This window comes from Homo sapiens, chromosome 19, assembly GCF_000001405.40.
Source record: "Homo sapiens chromosome 19, GRCh38.p14 Primary Assembly".
Lineage (NCBI taxonomy): Eukaryota > Metazoa > Chordata > Mammalia > Primates > Hominidae > Homo > Homo sapiens.
This window is the reverse complement of record NC_000019.10, coordinates 53234530-53254873: the sequence shown is the minus strand read 5'-3', so window position 1 is coordinate 53254873 and position 20344 is coordinate 53234530. Positions and strand designations below refer to the sequence as shown.

The window sequence follows — 20344 nt, the reverse complement described above, 5'->3', positions numbered from 1 at the left end:
GACCCGGAAGCGGATCTCGCGGGGCTACTGGCGCTCTCGGGTGAGTCTCCGTCTTTCGGGTTCAAGCCTGCGCCTCGCGGGCCACAGGTTCCCACGCTCCGCTGTCGGGTTTTGGGGTCGCCCTGTAGGTTAAAACCCCGAACCTGCTCATTCCTCTCGCGGCGTGGCCCTAAGACGTTCCCAGTCCCGTCGCTCCGAGAGGGTCTAGAGATCTGCGTCCATTTCGGATTAAAATCGTTCTGAAGTGGGTACTGGCCCCGACCTTTTTGCTTTAGGTCAGTGTGGACACCGACCGCCCACCGCGTCGTTTCTCTGCTTAAAACTCTTCTCTGACTCCCTCTTCCCTCCCCCTGGTAAAGCCCTCACTCGGGGTGGATACACACCCTTCGCCCTTCTCCAGGGAGAACAGAGGGGAAGCAGAAATGGAGGATAAAGAGGGAGAAATGCGCGAAATTAGAGAGCCATCAGAAACAATAGCAGGGACTGAAAAAAAGGATGCTACCAGGATGGGGCCAAACACTCTGTCAGAGAAGGAGAGGAAGGGAAGCCAAATGAGCAGAAAGGGACAGGAAAACGCCGAAATGGGAAAAAGAAAAGGAAAGAAACAGAAGGTGGAAGAGAAACATTTATAGAGAGGGGGAAAAAAATCACATAATGGTGGAGAAAGGGGGGGGCACCCAAATCCATGTGAGTGTGGATTGATTTAATATGGAACATTAAGTTGTGAAGTACTGATGTATGGCTCTATAATTAATTTAAAATTTGCTTCATTGTTTGTGCAGAAGAGCATGAAAATTGCAAAACTACGGTGTGAGGCTTCTGCGTTTTCTAATTATTACATCAGAAGCAACCCTTATTCAGCCAGAGGGTTAACTGACTTAGCTCAGTTAATTCCAGCTCACCCTCTTCCCTTTCTCTGATCTTGAGGAGAGTCAAGAAATGGGAAGAAACTGTGACACCGTATGCTGCTTTTGCAAACAGACATTAACAATATTATTCCCTCCTTTTTTGTGTGTGGCTTGTGTCATTTTCTAAATTTGACGTGTATTCAACTTGTCTTAAATGTAATTCCATAATTTATTGGATTTAAAAAAAATTTTCAAAGTATTTTCTCTTAAATGTATTGTTCAGCTTATGAGGTTTAAATGCTTTCTTTTGCTTTCTTTTATTTATTTATTTATTTTTTTGAGACGGAGTCTCACTCTGTCACCCAGGCTGGAGTGCAGTGGCTTGATCTCGGCTCACTGCAACCTCCGCCTCCAGGGTTCAAGCGATTCTCCTGCCTTAGCCTCCCGAGTGGCTGGGATTAAAGGCATGCGCCACCATGCCCGGTGAATTTGTATTTTTAGCAGAGACGGGATTTTCACCTTGTTAGCCAGGCTGGTCTCGAACTCCTGACCTCAGGTGATCTGTCTCCGCCTCTCAAAGCACTGGGATTACAGGCGTGAGCCACCGCGCCTGGCCTAAATGCTTTCTACTTTTTATCATATATTGGAACTATTCTTTTATGTCTGGTACTTGATTTCACAGTGTTTCACTCTAAGGTGTTGATAATCTTTTACCACTTAAAATCTGGTTTAACCAGTTAGTTTAATACAGTTGACCTTGAACAACACCAGTTTGAGCTAAGCAGGTACAACTATACAGGGGATTTTCTTCTACCCCTGCCACTCCTGACACAGCAAAATGAACCTCTTCTCTTCCTTTTCCACTGCAGCCCACACAATATGACCTCGGGGAGGATGCGAGGAAGATGAACTGTGATGATCCACTTCTTCTTAATGAATGGTAAATATATTTTCCCTTCTTTATGATTTTCTTAATCACATTATCTTTTCTCTAGCTTACTTTTTTATAAGAATACAGTATATAATACATGTAACATACAAAATATGTGTTAATCAACTGTTTATGTTTTCAGTAGACTTCTGGTCAACAATGGGTTATCAGTAGTTAAGTTTTTGGGAAATCAAAAGTTATACCTGGATTTTTGACTGGAGGTGGGGTGCGATTAGCACCCCATCACTACTGGTGTTGCTCAAGGCTCAGCTGTATTCAGTTTCTTTACTCCCTTATGTCATCTAAAAGCCTCCCACTAAGTAGATGTTCCTCCAGGTCCCCTTTGTCCTTTCTCTGCAAGATGTTGAAGAATGGCCTGGATTGGTGTGGAATTTTGTTCCAACAGAGCCCGTCTGTTCATAATGAAGAGATTACTCAGCACTAATCTCCACAGCTGACCCCCTTTCATGCTTTCCAAGAGTAATAGCTATTTGTAATTTCATATTTTTGAATATTTTTCTGGAAAAGAGTTAAATCCTTGGGATCAATTAAACCCATGAAATAGAAGTTTCTACTCAGGAATGTGAATGGTGATCTGGAAATAAGGACAAACCTTTGCTACTGCCCTATCCAGGCCACCATTTCAACATTCATTTACAACTGAGTTCTGCTCACTCAACTCAGACCTTTTCCAGGTAACTTGGTGAAATATCTCCTCTCTCTGAGGCTCAGTGTGCCCACCTGTAACGTGGAGATGATGGGTATACCAGAAATTCTGAATCTGAGCCGATGGGATCCCTGAAATGATTTTCAGGATTGAGCATGTGTCTGCATGTGGCAATTTTTTGAGAGAGGGTGCCCAGTTACAGTTAGTCTTAAATGACTCTGAGACCTCCAAAAATGATGGAAACTACTAGGAAAGGGGTCGGGGCATAGGGTTAGAGATAGGAGAGCTGCTTCTCTCTCAGCTTTTTATTCTTTCTCCCTATCTCTACATCAGAAGTAAGTCTTAAGTTTTATTATGTCATCTCCTGGCGTTATATCTTTTTATGCTTTCCCCCTGCCTGTGGGACAAAAGTCTAAACTACTTAGTATGGCTACAGCAGGGATTCGTGGAGCTATGGTGGCTCTTCACCTGTTCCAATTTTAGGCTTTTATATCCTGCATTGACTGACAGTCATTGGATACTGGCCATGAACTTGGACACAACAGTTTTTCTTGGCTGAGTGTCAGGTGGACAAAGGACAATGCAATTGATGCAGAATGTGTGGGTTTCAGCAAGAAGGGAGAACTTTTTGAAGACATAGGTGGAATAACTCCTTAGTCTCTGTTTAGGAGTTAATTTTTTTCATGAGTTTATTTTCACTCTTGTTGCAATTGGAAGCTAAGGACCATCTTTTTTCTATATCAAGCCTCTTCCTGTGTGTGTGTGGTAGAGGCAGGGGGTGTGTTGATTTTAAGCATTAAACAACATATTTTTGACATACAGACTGACTTACCTGAGAAAGAAACTCAGAGGAAGAGGAAAGAAAGAAGAGGAGGGAATGGCTCTTTCTCAGGTAAAAGTTATATTCTTGGTTCACTGTTTTGTCCTCTCCTTCCTGAAATGCCATATTTTGGACTTGCTAATTTTATCTGACTCTGAAGTGTCCTGACTAATATGTATATTCACACCCAGGGCTTTCCCTCAATTCCATCTCCACATAGATTCCATCTCACTGTGACCCGGTAACACGGAACTTTGGAAAAGGCTCCGTTTAGATGATTGTTCTGGAAAGGGTTTTATGCCTAGGCATGGATTGGGTATGGGGGGCAGGCTCCATGGTGTCAGTGAGGTTGGGTGGTAGTGACTGTTTAGAGACTTCATTTGGATACCCTTTCATCTCTTTATAAACCAGGATTAAAGAAGCTGCATATGGAAGTGATATATTAATGTGCACAAATACCTGGAAAACTTTGAAAAAGAAGACTGTTGGGGGAAACTTGCTTAGCTTGAGTTTATAATACATTTGTAGCTAAACAATTGAATCAGTGTGTTTCTGGCTCTAAAATATTAATTTGAAATAGAATGGGAAGTTCAGAAGTAGACATTGGGGATGGAGAAGGTAGTCTTTTTTCATAATTGGTTTTAAAATATTAAATCAACATAGTTGTCTTAACAGCAGGAGGTTCTTTAAATTCTTCACAGTGCATCCATCTCATGAAGACTCTCCTGTTCATTTGGGAATTCTCATGCAGTGGGTGTTTAGATAAAAATGTCTGTAATTTATTATTTTTCTTAATTTTAGTCCAGGGGTAGGTTTGTTATATAGCTAAACTTGTGTCATGGGAGTTTGTTGGACAGATTATTTCATCATCCAGATATTAAACCTCGTACCCATTAGTTATTTTTCCTGATCCTCTCCCTCCTCCCACCCTCCATCCCTGATAGGCTCCAGTGTGTGTTGTTTCCCTCTATGTGTCCATGTGTTCTCATAATTTAGCTCCCACTTGTGAGAACATGCAGCATTTAGTTTTCTGTTCCTGTGTTAGTTTGCTAAAGATAGTGGGCTCAAGCTCTGTCCATGTCCCTGCAGAGGACATGATCTCTTTTTTTATGGCTACATAGTATTCCGTGGTGTATGTGTACCACATTTTCTTTATTCAGTCCACCATTGGTGGGCATTTAGGTTGATTCCATGTCTTCGCTATTGTGACTAGTGCTGCAGTGAACATATGCACGTATGTGTATGTTCATGCACGCATGATGGGATTGCTGGGTTGAATGGTAATTCTGTTTTTCGATCTTTGAGGAATCACCACACTGTCTTCCAGGATGGTTGAACTAATTTACACTTCCACCAATGGTGTGTAAGTGTTCCTTTTTCTCCACAACCTCACCAGCATCTGTTATTTTTTTGACTTTTTAATAATAGCTAAAAGGGGCTGGGTGCAGTGGCTCACACCTGTAATCCCAGCACTTTGGGAGGCTGAGACGGGTGGATCACCTGAGGTCAGGAGTTCGAGACCAGCCTGACCAACATGGTGAAATCCCGTCTCTACTAAAAATACAAAATTAGCTGGGCATGGTGGCACGTGCCTGTAATCCCAGCTACTCGAGAGGCTGAGGCAGGAGAATCGCTTGAACCCGGGAGGCAGAGGTTGCAGTGAACTAAGATTGTGCCGTTGCACTCCAGCCTGAGCAACAAGAGCAAAACTCCATCTCAAAAAAATAATAATAATAATTAAAAAATAATAGCCAAAAGATGGCTATAATATAGCTAAGACCTGTGAGCAGAACTTTCTGTCATCAGAGAGGCAGGAGCCAAATTCTGATTACACTACTTGTTAAATACTACATTTCTTTTGTAGTAAACATCACATGATATATATATTTTTTATGATAAAATGTCATGCAGTGATGCTTAGGGACTAAAAAGTAAAACATTATGTTGTCCAGTCCACCATCACCCACTATCTCCATCAGGAACTACTGATCATTCTTTTCAATGGAAGAGAAGTCGTAAAAATCATAATTTAATTTTAGAAAATGTTTAGTGAATATTTTGTTGTGATATTCTGTTTTGCAAAATTGTATATTTGTATACTGTATGTCTTTGTTTTGGTTTTTTGCTGGTAAACAGAGACAGCTTGAGTTTTTACTTTCTCATTGGAGCATTCTCTTACTGAAGACACATTGGTTGTTTACAGTTTTTCTCCATTACAAAGAATCCGCATTGGCTGCCTCTGAGCAGGCCAACTGTACTACAGCTGTGTGAGGATTCCTCCAGGTTGGGCAATTTGAAGCATGATTACTGGCTTAATGATGCTTCTGAGGAAGCTCAGACATTACACTTACTAAAAAATACTTTAAATCAACTATCTTAACCATGCTTAGAGAGCTGAAGTAAACGGTGGACAAAGAACTAAAGGAAAGTAGGACAACAGTGTTTCAACGAATATCAGTAAAAACATAGAAATTATTAAAAAGAAGTGAAATAGAAGTTTTGGAGCTGAAAAGTATAACGTGAAAATTTCAACTATAAAGTTTCAAGAGTAGAGTGACAGAATACAGAATCAGCTAACCTAAACTTTAGGTTAATTGAAATTATTTAATCTGAGCAGAAGAAAGGGAAGAAAAATACAATATAAGAAAGCTTTGGGACACCATGAAGCATATGTATGTATGCTTAATAAGAATTTTCCAAGAAAAGGAGAAAGCAAAAGGCAGAAAGAATATTTGAAGAAATAAGAACTGAAACCTCCCAAATATATAAAGAACATGAATCTGTATACCTAGGAAACTCAGTGAACTTTAATTGTGATAAACTTATAGAGATCCACAGCAAGACACATAATCAAACTGTGGAAGGAAAAGAGAATCATGATAGTAGCAACATAGAAATAATTTGTCATGTACAGTGACCCTCAAAAAGATTAAGAGCCAAATTCTCATCAGAAACTATGGAGGCTAGACATTAGTGGAATGACATATTCAAAGTTTGAAACGAAAGAACTATCCAGCAGGAATTCAGTATCAGGCAAATTATCCTTCAGAATTGACAGTGAAATTGAGATCCCCAGATAAACAAGAGCTGAGGGAGTTTGCATTAGTGGACTTACCCTGCATGAAATGTTAAGCAAAGTCTTTTAGGCTGAAGTAAAAGGACACCAGCAGTACCTTAAAGCCATAAAAACAAATTAATACAGGTAAAACACCTACGTAGGTACAAATACAAAAGCCAATATTACTGGTTTTTTAAAAACTTTTTTTCTATATGATTTAAAAATGTATAAAACAGTAATTGTAAATCTGTTACTGGCTATAAAATGCATAGAGAAGTAATTTTTGACATTATAAAGAGAACCAGCCAGAGCTATATAGAAACAGAAGTTGTTATGCAATTGAAGCCAACTTAGCATCGATTGAAACTTAATTATTATCAGCTTCTGATGGAAATTTTAATTCCCAGGGCAACCGTTAAGAAAATAACAAAAATGTAAAGAAGGGAACCGAAATGATATACACACACAAACTTATACACACAAAGAAGCAAGTAAGGGAATAATTACAAAACAAAAAAGATAGGCATGTGAAAAACAAGTAGCAAAATGGTAAAAGTGGTTCTTTTATCAGTAGTTACTTTAAATATAAGTGGATTAAATTCTCCTTTAAAAGGCACTTATTGGAGGAATAATTTTTTAAAACTATGATTTCACTATATAATGTTTATAAAAGACTTCCTTTAGAGCTAAACACAAATAGCCTGGAAAGTATAATAAAAGGATGTAAAAAGGTATTTCATGCAAATATTAAACCTAGCTGGATAGCTACATAGATAGCAGACCAAATAAACTTTAAGTCAAAAATTGATACCAGAGATGTTGAAGGACAGTAAATATTGGGGTTAATCCATCAAGAACATGTAACTGCTATAAAAAATATGGATCAAATATCAACACCCCAAATATTTTGGAACAAAAATTACAAGGAGATACAGTCCTGCTATAATAGTTGGAGAATTCTATGCTCTCTGTTTAATAATGGATAGAACAGCCAGACAGAAGATTAGTAAGGAAATAAAGGGCTTGAGCAACACTTTAAACCAAGATTATCTAACCCACGGACCACAGACTGCATGTGGCTCAGGATGGCTTTGAATGTGACACAACACAAATTTTTAAACTTTCTTAAAACATGAGATTTTTTTGTGATTTTTTTTTTTTTAAGGTCATCAGCTGTCATTAGTGTTAGTGTATTTTATGTGTGGCCCAAAACAATTCTTCCTCTTCCAGTGTGGCCCAGGGAAGCCAAAAGGTTGGACACTGCTGCTGTAAACTACACCAAACAAGCACGGAAAGAAAACTGCACCCAGCAAAAACGGAATCTGCACTCTTGTCTAGTGCACATAGCATATTCTCCAGGATGGACCACATGTCAGGCCACAGAACAAGTCTCAATACATTTTAAAAAGCTACAACTTATAAAACTATTCTCACACCACAATCGAGTGAAACTGGAAATCAATAAAAGGAAAACTGAAAAATTCAGTTTTAAATGAATTTTAACTTCCTTATTGAGGTATGATTGACATAAAAACCTATACATATGTAATGTATACAATTTGATGAGTTTGGAGATCAGTATATACCTCTGACACCACCACTACAATCTGTCATAAACATATCCATTGCCTCAGAAAGTTTTTTTCTTGCTGTCTTTATTATTTCATATTTTTATAAGAATACAACCTAAGAACTACTGTCTTAACAAATTTTTAAGTATACAATACAGGATTAACTATAAGCACTGTGTTATTCAGGAGATCTCTAAGACTTTTTCATCTTGTGTAACTGAAACTGATTACTACCTCACCATTTCCCCACTCAGCACCTAGCAACCACCATTCTATTCTCTGTTTCTATGAGTTTTACTGTTTTCAGTTCCTCATATAAGTGGAGTCATGTATTTGTTCTCTGTGTGGCCTATTTCACTTACATAACATACTCCATTTTCATTCAGGTAGTCTATAGCAAATAGGATTTCCTTCTTTTTAAAGGCTGAATAATATTCGTGTGTGTGAGTGTGTGTGTGTGTGTGTGTGTGTGTGTGTGTGTGTGTGTGTGTACATTTTCTTTATTCAGTCATTCCTTGATGGATATTTAGCCATGACTTGGCTATTAAGAATAAAGCTGCAATAGATATGGAAGTACCTATCTCTCTTCAAGATCCTGATTTTAATTCTTTTGGATATATACCCAGAAGTGGAATTACTAGATCATGGTCGCTTTTTTTTTGGGACGGAGTCTCGCTCTGTCACCCAGGCTGGAGTGCAGTGGCGCGATCTTGGCTCACTGCAAGCTCCGCCTCCTGGGTTCCCGCCATTCTCCTGCCTCAGCCTCCCAAGTAGCTAGGACTACAGGCGCCCGCCACCATGCCTGGCTAATTTTTTGTGTTTTTAGTAGAGACGGGGTTTCACCATGTTAGCCAGGATGGTCTCAATCTCCTGACCGTGTGATCCATCCGCCTTGGCCTTCTGAAGTGCTGGGATTACAGGCGTGAGCCACTGCACCCAGCCGGTCATTTTATTTTTATTTTTTCCTGAGATGGAGTCTTCCTCTGTTGCCCAGGCTGGAATGCAGTGGCACAATCTTGGCTCACTGCAACTGCTGCCTCCCCGGTTCAAACAATTCCCCTGTCTCAGCCTCCTGAGTAGCTGGGATTACAGGCGCCCACCACCACGTCTGGCTAATTTTTATGTTTTTAATAGAGATGAGGTTTCACCATGTTGGCCAGGCTGGTCTTGAACTTCTGATCTCATGATCTGCCCACCTCGGCCTCCCAAAGTGCTGGGATTACAGGTGTGAGCCACTGCGCCCGGCCTATTTTTAATTTTTGAGGAACCTCCGTACTGTTTCCATAGTGGCTGCACTAATTCATATTCTGACCAACATTGTACAACAGTTCCCTTTTCTCCACATCCTAGACATTGCTTGTCCTTTTTTTTCTTTAGTGGTCATCCTAATAGATGTGAGATCATATTATGTTGTTGATTTGCGTTTTCCTGGTGATTAGTGATATTGAGCACCTTTTCATGTACCTAATGGCCATTTTTATATTCTCTTTGGAAAAAATGTCTGTTCAGCTCTTTTGCCCATTTTTTATTGGGTAATTAGTTTTTTTGGCTCTTGAGTTGTAGGAGTTACTTATATTTTTTGGATATTAACCCCTTTTCAGATATATAGTTTGCAAATATTTTCCCATTCCATAAGTTGCCTTTTTGTTCTGTTGGTTGTTTCTTTTGGTATGCACAAGTGTTTTGGTTTGATGTAGTCCCACTGGTCTATTTTTCCTTTTCTTGCCTGTGCTTTTGGTGTTATATCCAAGAAATCATTGCCAAGATAATGTCAAGAACATTTTCCCTATGTTTTCTTCTAGGAGTTTTACAATTTCAGGTAAAACTAAAGACGCAAGGTAAATTGAGTAAATTTACCTTGAGTCTTTAGTCAGTTTTGAGTTTATTTTTATTTGTGGCATAAGATAAGCATCCAGTTTCATTCTTTTGCATTTGGGTGTACAGATTTCCCAGCACTATTTACTGAAGACAGCATCTTTTCTCCATTATGTATTCTTGACACACTTGTCAAATATCAGTTGATTGTATATGTGTGAGTTTATTTCTGGGCTTTGTATTCTAGTACTTTTGTTTTGTGTGTCTATTTTATGCCAGTACCATACTGTTTTGATTACCATACCTTTGTAATATACTTTGAAATCAGGAAGTGTGATACTCCAGCTTTGATATTCTTGCTCAAAATTGCTGTGGCTCTTTTGGGTCTTTATAGTTCTATATGAATTTTAGGATTATTTCTTATATTTTTGTAAAAAGTGTCACTGTGATTTTGATAGGGATTGCATTGACTGTAGATTGCTTTGGATAATATGGACATTTTCATAGTATTAATTTTCTAAGTTCTTGAACATAGGATATCTTTCCATTTATTTGTTTTGTCTGCTTTAATTTCCTTCATTAGTATTTCATAGTTTGCAGCATGCAAGTCACTTACCTATTTGGGTAAGCTTATTTCATGTTAAAGTCACATGGGGAGTGACTGCTTAATGGGTACGGCATTTCTTTTGGAGTTGATAAAAATGTTTTTGAACTAGACAGAGGTGGTGGTGTATAACTTTGTGAATGTACTAAATGCCACTGAATTGTACTTTAAAATGGCTAATTTATTTGTTTTATTTTGAGGTGAAGTCTTGCTCTGTCTCCCTGACTGGGGTGCAGTGACATGATCACTGCCCACTGCAGTCTCCACCTCCCAGGTGCAAGTGATCCTCCCACCTCAGCCTTCTGAGTAGCTGGGACTACAGGCCCATTCCAGTGTGCCCAGCTAATTTTTTAAATTTTTTAGTAGAGGTGGAGTCTCACTTCGTTGTCCAGACTGTTTCAAACTCCTGAGCTCAAGCAGTCCTCCCACCTCAGCCTCTCAAGGTGCTGAAATTACAGGTGTGAGCCACTGCACCCAGCCTCAAATAGCTAATTTTATGTTATGTAATTTCATCTCAGTTTAAAAAAAATAAAATTAGGGATATATAAGTTGCTTGCATTAACTCACATAAATCAGTGAATATGTACACCTCTTTTCTGCCATTTTGTGTGAAAATAAGAAATTTTCCTGTGTCCACTTGGTGAAGTGTGTTTTTATTTCAGGGACTGTTTACATTCAAGGATGTGGCCATAGAATTCTCTCAAGAGGAGTGGGAGTGCCTGGACCCTGCCCAGAGGGCCTTGTACAGGGACGTGATGTTGGAGAACTACAGGAACCTGCTTTCTCTCGATGAGGATAACATCCCTCCAGAAGATGGTAACCACCCTTGTACATCTTTACATTTTTCCTTGTGAGTCTCTTGGGAGGCCCTGATGTGCTTGTCTGAATCCGATCCCTGTTCTAAAAGGGGAGATTGAAACTTTTTGATTGAGAGTGGAAAGGCTTCATAATGTAGCATATAGACTTTAAACTTCCCCTTTCTTCAGAAGTTCTGCGCATAATCAGGTTTGACGAGTGGTGGTTCCAGAATATCAGTACTTACAAAACCTTATGGAAAACGTTTTAAAGTGTCTGGTATCATGGTTTTATCCCTGTGCCTTTGATTCAGTAGTTTTTTCAGAGTCTGCATATTTAAAATAATCCCTAAGCATTCAGAAGAAGGCAGTCCGTTGACTAATTTATGAAATTGTTTTGGGAAATAGTTTTGCAGACCCATGTGTAATGTCCTCTCTTCGTAGCTGAACAAAGGGCTGGGAATGTATCCAGGAAAAGCACAGCATACCATGTTCCTTTTTTTCTTTATAAGTTGAAATCTTTCCTGAGCTGAATATTGTGTTCATTTTGGAGCACAGGAAAGAGTCCTAGACTATGGAAAGTGAAGTGAAAATAGGGAAAAAATCAGGTAGGTCGGAATGTGAGCACAAATAAGCGCTCAGATGGCCACAGAGTAAGCTACTCCATTGAGTATTGTTTGGGAAACTCTGCAAATGGGAAAGATCAGTGGGAAAACAAAAGTTTATTTCTTATGAGCTCTCAAAGCAAGGTCCACACCCGCTCCTACTGTCCCCCAACATACTGTTATTCAAATGTGTAAAAGGTTGAACTCCCACTCTCCCGTGATGCCCCAACTCATACAGACACAAAAGCAAAGGTGCTATCATGACCTACAATACTGTTTGGCCCCTCTGACCATTTTGGTCTCTTGGTTTTGAGAGGGACCGAAATGGCTGTTTTTAAGGACTCTCTTTTAGTGTATATAATTTCATCTGATGTGTGGTTTTCAGTCTATACAGATCAGAGCTGGGGCCTTTGTAGCCCTGGCTCCAGAACCTATTCAATTTCTATTCCTATTTCTTATACCTGCAAGAACTTTTCAGGAAAATGGGAAAACAGTGGCTCCCCCAAAATGTATCTGGGGTTCCCTGAAATTTGAAAGACTGTCGGTCTCTCTACTTGTTCAAGCCCCTTGGCCATTCCTTCAGTTCTGCTTTTGCCACATGTGTCTAAAGGGGAATGGGCAGGCTTTTGAGATTGTTACTCAGCATTAATGTAAAGACTTGACAGAGAGATCCTCTTTTTGATTGCCATTCCAAAATGGGAATATATCTCATTCTTTTAGGTTCTCACCTTGCAGCCTGTGGACAGAGCACACTGCCTCTTCCTTAGAATCCTACAAAATCCGACCCTTTTATTTTACTCCCGTACCTTTTATTTCTCTCCCTTTTCTAGCTTTCTACTCTATCCGGGAACTTAGGGAGACCTTAGTCTTCCTGATTCCATATTCTTCTAAGATTTGCCTCTGAAAGTTGCTTTTGAAATACACATTCCGGATGGGCGTGGTGCCTCACGCCTATAATCCCAGCACTTTGGGAGGCCGAGGTGGGCAGATCACCTGAGGTCGGGAGTTCGAGACCAGCCTGACTAACATGGAAAAACCCCGTCTCTACTAAAAATACAAAAATTAGCCGGGTGTGTTGGCGCATGCCTGTAATACCAGCTGCTCGGGAGGCTGAGGCAGGAGAGTTGCTTGAACCCGAGAGGCAGAGGTTGTGGTGAGCCGAGATCACGCCATTGCACTCCAGCCTGGGCAACAAGAGCAAAACTCCATCTCGAAAAAAAAAAAAAGAAAAAGAAAAGTACACATTCCTAGAGTCTGAAATTTCCTCTCTTTCTGCTGTGATAACCCACCAATAGGCGATGGACAACTTTTGGTGGACTCTCCCATGGAAGAGGTTTCCTTGGTGACAGAACATTCTTGAAAGAGAACATTAATTAATCTGTCACAGTATCATTCTGCTACATAGAGGTGCCTCTTGAAGCCACTGAGTAGAGTAGCCTGCATGTCCCAGTATGCTGAGAGAGAATCAGGACAGCCGGAGGGATAAGTGCTTCTGACCTTCTGGTTTCTGTGGAGTTTCCAGTGTCTCCCAAGGGCAGTGTGACAACGCTGGTTAGATATATGCTGATCATCCTCTTGGAGCCAGCAGTACAAGGTGTAGGAGTTTCTCCTGGGAAGAGCATTCTCCAAGTTCTCAACCTCATATCTGCGAACATGTTGACCAAACTGTTGCTCATACCACATTATTCATCCCATACGTGCAGTTGTACATTTTTCTTCAGTATGATTTTTATGCCTTTATTGAGGGAGCTTACAAAGTTGAATTAGGCATACATTTTTAAAGTTCAGTATAATTTGGTTAAGCCACTGACACTTTCATTTTGCCAATGTCATTGGTATAAATGAACTTGTATGTATTTAATCAGCAGTTACATGTTTTCATGATACTCTTAGTGTTTTTTGTTTTATATCTACAGTGTGTGGGGCCATGAGATGAATGAATATTGTTTTATTATATATATTTTTTTCTGCTTCATATACTTTCATGATGTTTTATATGTTTTACCAGAAGATTTCTTCCTTGAGTATTTATGTCTGAGTATTAGTTTCCTCAAAACATATATAACCTCCAAAACTTTGTTAAAGGATAGTATTAGTTATTCCTTTTACTTCTGTTTCCTGTAACTTTATATCAACTCTTAGCTTATACTTTTTAAAAATAGACTTTCTATTTTTTAGCAATTTTATGTTCACAGCAAACTAGATTTCCTGTATACTCTGTTCCCCCACACGTGCACAGCGTCTTCCCCCATTATCACCATCCCCCATCACAGTGGTACATTTGTTAAAATTGATAAACCTACATTGACACATCATTATCACCCAAAGTCCATAGTCGATGTTGGGGTTCACTCTATGTATATGCTTTGGGTTTGGGCAAATATATAATAGACATATATCCTCCATAATAGTATCTTACAGAATAATTACACTGCCCTAAAAAATCTGTGCTCTGTCTGTTCATCTCTCCCTCCCCCCAGCACCTGGCAACCACTGATCTCTTTACTGTCTCCATAGATTTGCCTTTTTCAGAATGTCATATAGTTGGAACCATATAGTATATGGCCTTTTCAGATTGGCTTCTTTCACTTAATAATATGCATTTCAATTTCTAGGGCTGGGCGTGGTGGCTCACGCCTGTAATCCCAGCACTTTGGGAGGCCGAGGCCGGCGGATCACGAGGTCAGGAGATCAAGACGATCCTGGCTAACATGGTGAAACCCCGTCTCTACTAAAAATACAGAAAATAAGCCGGGCGTGGTGGCGGGCACCTGTAGTTCCAGCTACTCAGGAGGCTGAGGCAGGAGAATGGCGTGAACCTGGGAGGCAGAGGTTGTGATGAGCCGAGACCATGCCACTGCACTCCAGCCTGGGCAACAGAGCGAGACTCCATCTCAAAAAATAGATAAATAAAATAAATTTCTTCCATGTCTTTTTATAGCTTGACAGCTCATTTCTTTTTAGCACAGAATAACATCCCTTCATTGCACACACTGTGTAAAGAATGACTCCTGCTTATACACAGGACAGCTTACTCAGGACAGCAACATGATCTGGTCACTGTCTAAACAACTTGTGCAAGATAAGGTGACTTAAATGCTATCTGAGAGCAGTGGTGCTGTCACACTATAGGTGACACAGCTCAGGTCCCATAATCTGCCTTGAAACATTTCTTCCTACACTCCTCGTATTTGCTGTGATTTATAATCCGTGCTGCCCTGGGTGGCCAGTGGTGCTTAATGCTGTGAACATGGCATCTTAGCCCGCACACACAGGTTCAGATTCTGGCTTTCAGATGTGCTTTCTCTGTGAGTTAGGGATAGATATGTAAACCTCTTCAGCCCTTTGTTTTGGTATGAAAAGGTGCGATAATTTACCTCAAGAGGATTTACATCAATTAGTGCTGTTAGAGACCTTAGTAACTTGCATAGCATTTAGTATGCTTTGAAAAGTTACCTTTATGAATAAGATATGTCAAGTGTCTGTCATGTTTCTTATGAGATTGACCTTTGCCTTCATTATATCTTACATATTTTCTTTTTTGTAATTTTTTTTTTCATATCAACATTTCTCTGACTCTACATAATAAAATGTTAAAGCACACAGCTTTCATTATATGTATTTTTTGGCCATAGAACTGGAAAACTAGATGACATTTCCTAGTCAGGGAGTTTCTCTATATACTGCTGTCATATAACTGCAGGCATGAAATTATTTCAGACTCCCCTCCTAATTCTTCATCTTTATAGTAATGTGCATTTACCTGAAGCTGATATTTCAAAATTTAGTGATTCTCAACATATTATTTTTCCTATTGTGTGTCCCTTCTGTTTTTTCTGTAGTTCATAAGCAGTAATTCTTTAGAATTTCACTGACAATTTTGTGTAATTGTGGTTGTTCATTAACTTGCCTGTTAGATTTTCACAGGTTACTAAAGTGTTTTATTTATTTTTGTAATGATTTACAGATGATGGTTTTTCAGTATATATTATGCAATAGAACCACCATGCACAAATTGTTAATGCTGCAAAATGCACATTCTACATGGGTGTAAGTAGTTTTATAACAAGTACTCACATTTGCAATTTGTAAATATTCAAAATTTTATTAAATTCTTCCGAATTTTTTCTTTCAGTGTTTTGTTTGCAATTATGAATTGTCATTTTTAAATATTTTTTATTAGATAAGCTTGAGCTGTGCCTTACCTTTTGTGTGTAATAATTATGTACTAAATAATGCATTACTATTTGTTTATCTTCAAATATGAGACTACCATATAGCTATGCCAATTTACGTGTTCCTTGGAGTGGTGGTGGAAAAATACCTCTTCTTTCAGAGTTTATGTGGATTTACATAGTATGAGTGTTTTAGCTATAGGGTGTTTTAAACTGTGCTTAAAATAATTTGTTACATGTTTTGTTACTGTGTTACTTTATTGAGGACAGCTAGTCCCTTTGTGTTGTTAAACGTTTAAAGACAGTTGAGAAGCTTCATAACTCTGTTCATTGTAAATCTTAGCTTTCTTGTAATATGTATTTTAATAAAATATTTACCTTGCAACTCTATTTGATGGAAAGCCTGTGGTTTTTTTAATATCTTTCAGATATTTCTGTTGGATTTACAAGCAAGGGATTATCACCAAAGGAAAATAATAAAGAGGAATTATACCATCTGGTGATATTAGAAAGAAAGGAAAGCCATGGCATCAACAATTTTGACCTCAAGGAAGTCTGGGAAAATATGCCTAAGTTTGACAGCCTGTGGGACTATGATGTAAAAAATTACAAAGGAATGCCTTTGACCTGTAACAAAAATCTCACTCACAGAAAAGATCAACAACATAATAAATCCTCAATACATTTCTCTTTAAAGCAGAGTGTTTCTATAAGAGATAGTGCACACCAGTATTTCATCCATGACAAGCCATTTATAAGGAATTTGTTAAAACTGAAAAATAACATAAGGTATGCCGGAAACAAATACGTGAAGTGTTTTGAAAATAAAATTGGATTAAGCTTACAGGCACAGCTGGCTGAACTACAGAGATTTCAAACTGGGGAGAAAATGTATGAATGTAATCCAGTTGAGAAGTCTATCAATAGTTCCTCAGTTTCACCACTTCCTCCTTGTGTCAAAAACATTTGTAATAAATATAGGAAGATTTTGAAATACCCTTTATTACATACACAGTATGGGAGAACACACATTAGAGAAAAATCATACAAGTGTAATGACTGTGGAAAGGCTTTTAGCAAAAGTTCGAACCTCACTAATCATCAGAGAATTCACTCTGGACAGAGACCTTACAAATGTAACGAGTGTGGCAAAGCCTTTAACCAGTGTTCGAACCTCACTAGGCATCAGAGAGTCCATACAGGAGAGAAACCATATCAATGTAATATATGTGGCAAGGTCTGTAGTCAAAATTCAAATCTTGCAAGTCATCAGAGGATGCATACTGGAGAGAAACCTTACAAATGTAATGAATGTGGTAAGGCATTTATCCAGCGTTCACACCTTTGGGGTCATGAAAGAATTCATACTGGAGAGAAACCTTACAAATGTAATGAATGTGACAAAGCCTTTGCTGAACGTTCAAGCCTTACCCAACATAAGAGAATCCATACTGGAGAGAAGCCTTACATATGTAATGAGTGTGGCAAAGCTTTTAAGCAGTGCTCACATCTCACTAGGCATCAGAATATACATCCTGGAGAGAAACCACACAAATGTAATGTGTGTGGCAGGGCTTTTATCCAAAGTTCAAGTCTTGTGGAACATCAGAGAATTCACACTGGAGAAAAACCTTACAAATGTAATAAATGTGATAAAGCTTTTATCAAACGTTCACACCTTTGGGGTCATCAGAGAACTCATACTGGAGAGAAACCTTACAAATGTACTGAATGTGGCAAAGCCTTTACTGAACGTTCAAATCTTACTCAGCATAAGAAAATCCATACTGGAGAGAAACCTTACAAATGTACTGAATGTGGCAAAGCTTTTACCCAATTTGCAAACCTCACTAGACACCAGAAAATACACATTGAAAAGAAACATTGTAAACATAATATACATGGTAATGCTTTATTCCAAAGTTCAAACCTTGGAGATCATCAAAAAAGTTATAATAGAGAAAAACATATCAAATATAATGAGACAAAAATTAAGTATTCAAGCTGTACCTAGCATCAGGGGCTCCATTGTGAAAAGAAACCATATAAAACGAAAATGTGGTAAAGCCTTTAGCTATGGCTTATGTCTCACTTGATACCAGAATATACATCTTTGAGATAAACCACACAAAGATAACATGTATGGCAAGGCTTATCCAAAGTTCAAGCCTTGTGGAACATCATAGAATTCTTACTGTAGAGAAGCCTTACAAATATAATGAATGTGAACAGCTTTATAAAAATATTTACCCTATTATGGTTATAACAGAAGACATTCAGGATGGAAACCATACAAATGTGGCAAGTCCTTTAAGCAATGTTCTGACTTCAGGATACACCATTCATATTGGAGAGAAGCATTACAAGTGAAGGTGGTAAATTATTTTAAATTTCTCAATGGAAATTCATCCTTATATGCAAGCATTTTGTCATACAAAAATTCAGGCTAGAGGGAACTAAGTCTTTTTTCCTTCTTGAAGATTAAGTGATTGATGTTAAATTCACAGACAATTTTAAAAAGTCACAAACTCATGGTGTGTGTCAGAGGAGCAAGGACATCTGTGGAAAGATGTAACTTCAGTGTTAAAAATTTTTTATTCAGTTATTTCATATTTTTAAAAGTATGAAATCTGTTGCTGTTAAATCTTCATGGCATGCTTTTCATTTATCATGATTGTCTCAAGGAATGGATGTAAGATGGAAGGGACTACTTCCTTAGGTGTGGCTTCTTTATATTACTGAAACCTGGAAAAAGCAAGAACACTAATTTTTTCTTTTTTTGGAGACAGAGTCTTGCTCTGTCACCCAGGCTGGAGTGCAGTGGCACCATCTCAGCTCACTGCAACCTCTGTCTCCCGGGTTCAAGCAATTCTCCTGCCTCAGCCTCACGAGTAGCTGGGATTACAGGCATGCGCCATCATGCCTGGCTAGTTTTTTGTTTTTTTGTTTTTGTATTTTTAGTAGAGACAGAGTTTCGCCATGTTGGCCAGGCTGATCTTGAACTCCTGACCTCAGGTGATCCACCTGCCTTGGCCTCCCAAAGTGCTGGGATTACAGGCATGAGCCACCGTGCCCAGCCAAGAACACTAATATACAATATACTATAAGAGCATGGGGGTTTGTGCCAGAAGAGAGGTAAAACTATTGTCTAACATATATGCTTTATGTGGTCAGGACCCCTTAGAATTGTTGATGTGACTGGGGACCTTTGTCGATTATAGGAGAGATTGGTTACAGTACAAGATGACCATGAAACAAGAAGAGTAGGGTGGGACATTGAGAGATTTTCATGGAAGTGAAATGGTCGGTTACTAGAGACTGCATATGTGGTAGAAAGAAATGGAGGGGGAATGATAGTCACCCTCTCTTGAAAGGTAGTTACTGTTGCATATCACAGATTATTGAACATAGATAGGTCTTATTTTTGGAAACTGAAGAGAGAATGGTTACCATAGAGGACAGTTCCATCAAAAGAACCAGAGTAGTGTTCTTATAGGGGATTCACATTTGGCCCCTGAGATTGCATTTGATACCATTTTATTTAGAATATATTATACTTCTTATGTCTTAATTAGTAAAATATAATCATTTTTAGTAACCCTGAATGAATCGTGTGCCTTCCGTCAACCCAAGCATATCCCACCTCATTGGGACACTTAATATCAAACACTATAATACATCATTAGACTCTCAAGGTTGAATGTCATCTATAACAATTTCTATCCATGTTATGTTCAAACAGTATACAATTTAAGAAGTATATATTCATAATTTGCACTTGAAATATTTTCTCCACACTCTGCCCTAGATGACTTCTATGGCTATAATGAAAATGCCATGCCATAGTGGGACAATATCAGACCCCCTGAAACCTGTCTTCCTGTTCATGAATATGCACTGTGCAGTTATATTTCTACATGCCTTTTTTTCTACATAACTTTATTTCTGCATGCCTTTTACATGAGAGGAAAATAACAAATGTAAGCATATGAAAATTATTAGTAAATGAAATTTCTGAAATAATAACACAACTTCTTTTTTTGTACTTGGAGCACTCCGTGAAATAATTTGAAAAAAATCAGTGTTCATGAGTTTCCCCTTAATAATGAACATAAGCAATGGATTTTTTTTTTAAAGAAACTAGAAACCTCATGTATTTACCCCCAAAACATTTTTTTTTACTGATTTGCACTTGTCGCCACTCCACTGGAACAGGAGGGAACCCCGTGCAAAGTTTGGTTTAGATTTCAGGATTGGTGGTACTCTACATCAAAGTATTATAAGAATGTTTATTACAAAAGGCTTTCTGGAGAGAACAGGGTAGACTTCCCAAGCTGGTTAAAAAATGGCTAGAGAAGGCAGTGAAAGATGATTGACTTGGGGTGTTATGATGTTTATCTGGTGGGGCTGGAGTGAATACTCATCTGTGGTTTAAATTTTCAGCTAGCCGGCTGGG

At 38.7% G+C, this 20344-nt stretch overlaps 1 protein-coding gene across 17 annotated transcripts; it reads left to right on the top strand.

The window, feature by feature from the left end:
- On the top strand, positions 1 to 19493 carry ZNF677 (zinc finger protein 677). Of its 17 annotated transcripts, NR_169728.1 has the most exons (6): positions 51 to 244; positions 1718 to 1788; positions 3269 to 3338; positions 7555 to 7840; positions 10977 to 11130; positions 14329 to 16278. NR_169728.1 is itself a non-coding variant. In NM_182609.4 (5 exons), exons 3-5 carry the CDS (start codon positions 3324 to 3326, stop codon positions 17900 to 17902), a joined length of 1755 nt encoding a protein of 584 aa, NP_872415.1. In that variant the 5' UTR covers positions 1 to 40; positions 1718 to 1788; positions 3269 to 3323; the 3' UTR covers positions 17903 to 19493. The 17 variants fall into 17 exon arrangements, 16 of the variants coding, with proteins under 16 accessions (NP_872415.1, NP_001372540.1, NP_001372547.1 ...); NM_182609.4 differs by lacking the exons at positions 51 to 244; positions 7555 to 7840; positions 14329 to 16278 and adding exons at positions 1 to 40; positions 16317 to 19493; NM_001385611.1 differs by lacking the exons at positions 51 to 244; positions 7555 to 7840; positions 14329 to 16278 and adding exons at positions 1 to 40; positions 16317 to 19493 and having other exon boundaries at positions 10977 to 11164.
- Positions 19494 to 20344: the final 851 nt, after the last annotated feature.

What these genes read in the sequence shown, in the direction of transcription:
- ZNF677 (NM_182609.4), top strand. An exon ending in TAACATCCCTCCAGAAGATG is followed by an intron (nt 11,131 to 16,316) that starts GTAACCACCCTT and finishes AATATCTTTCAG; the next exon opens with ATATTTCTGTTGGATTTACA.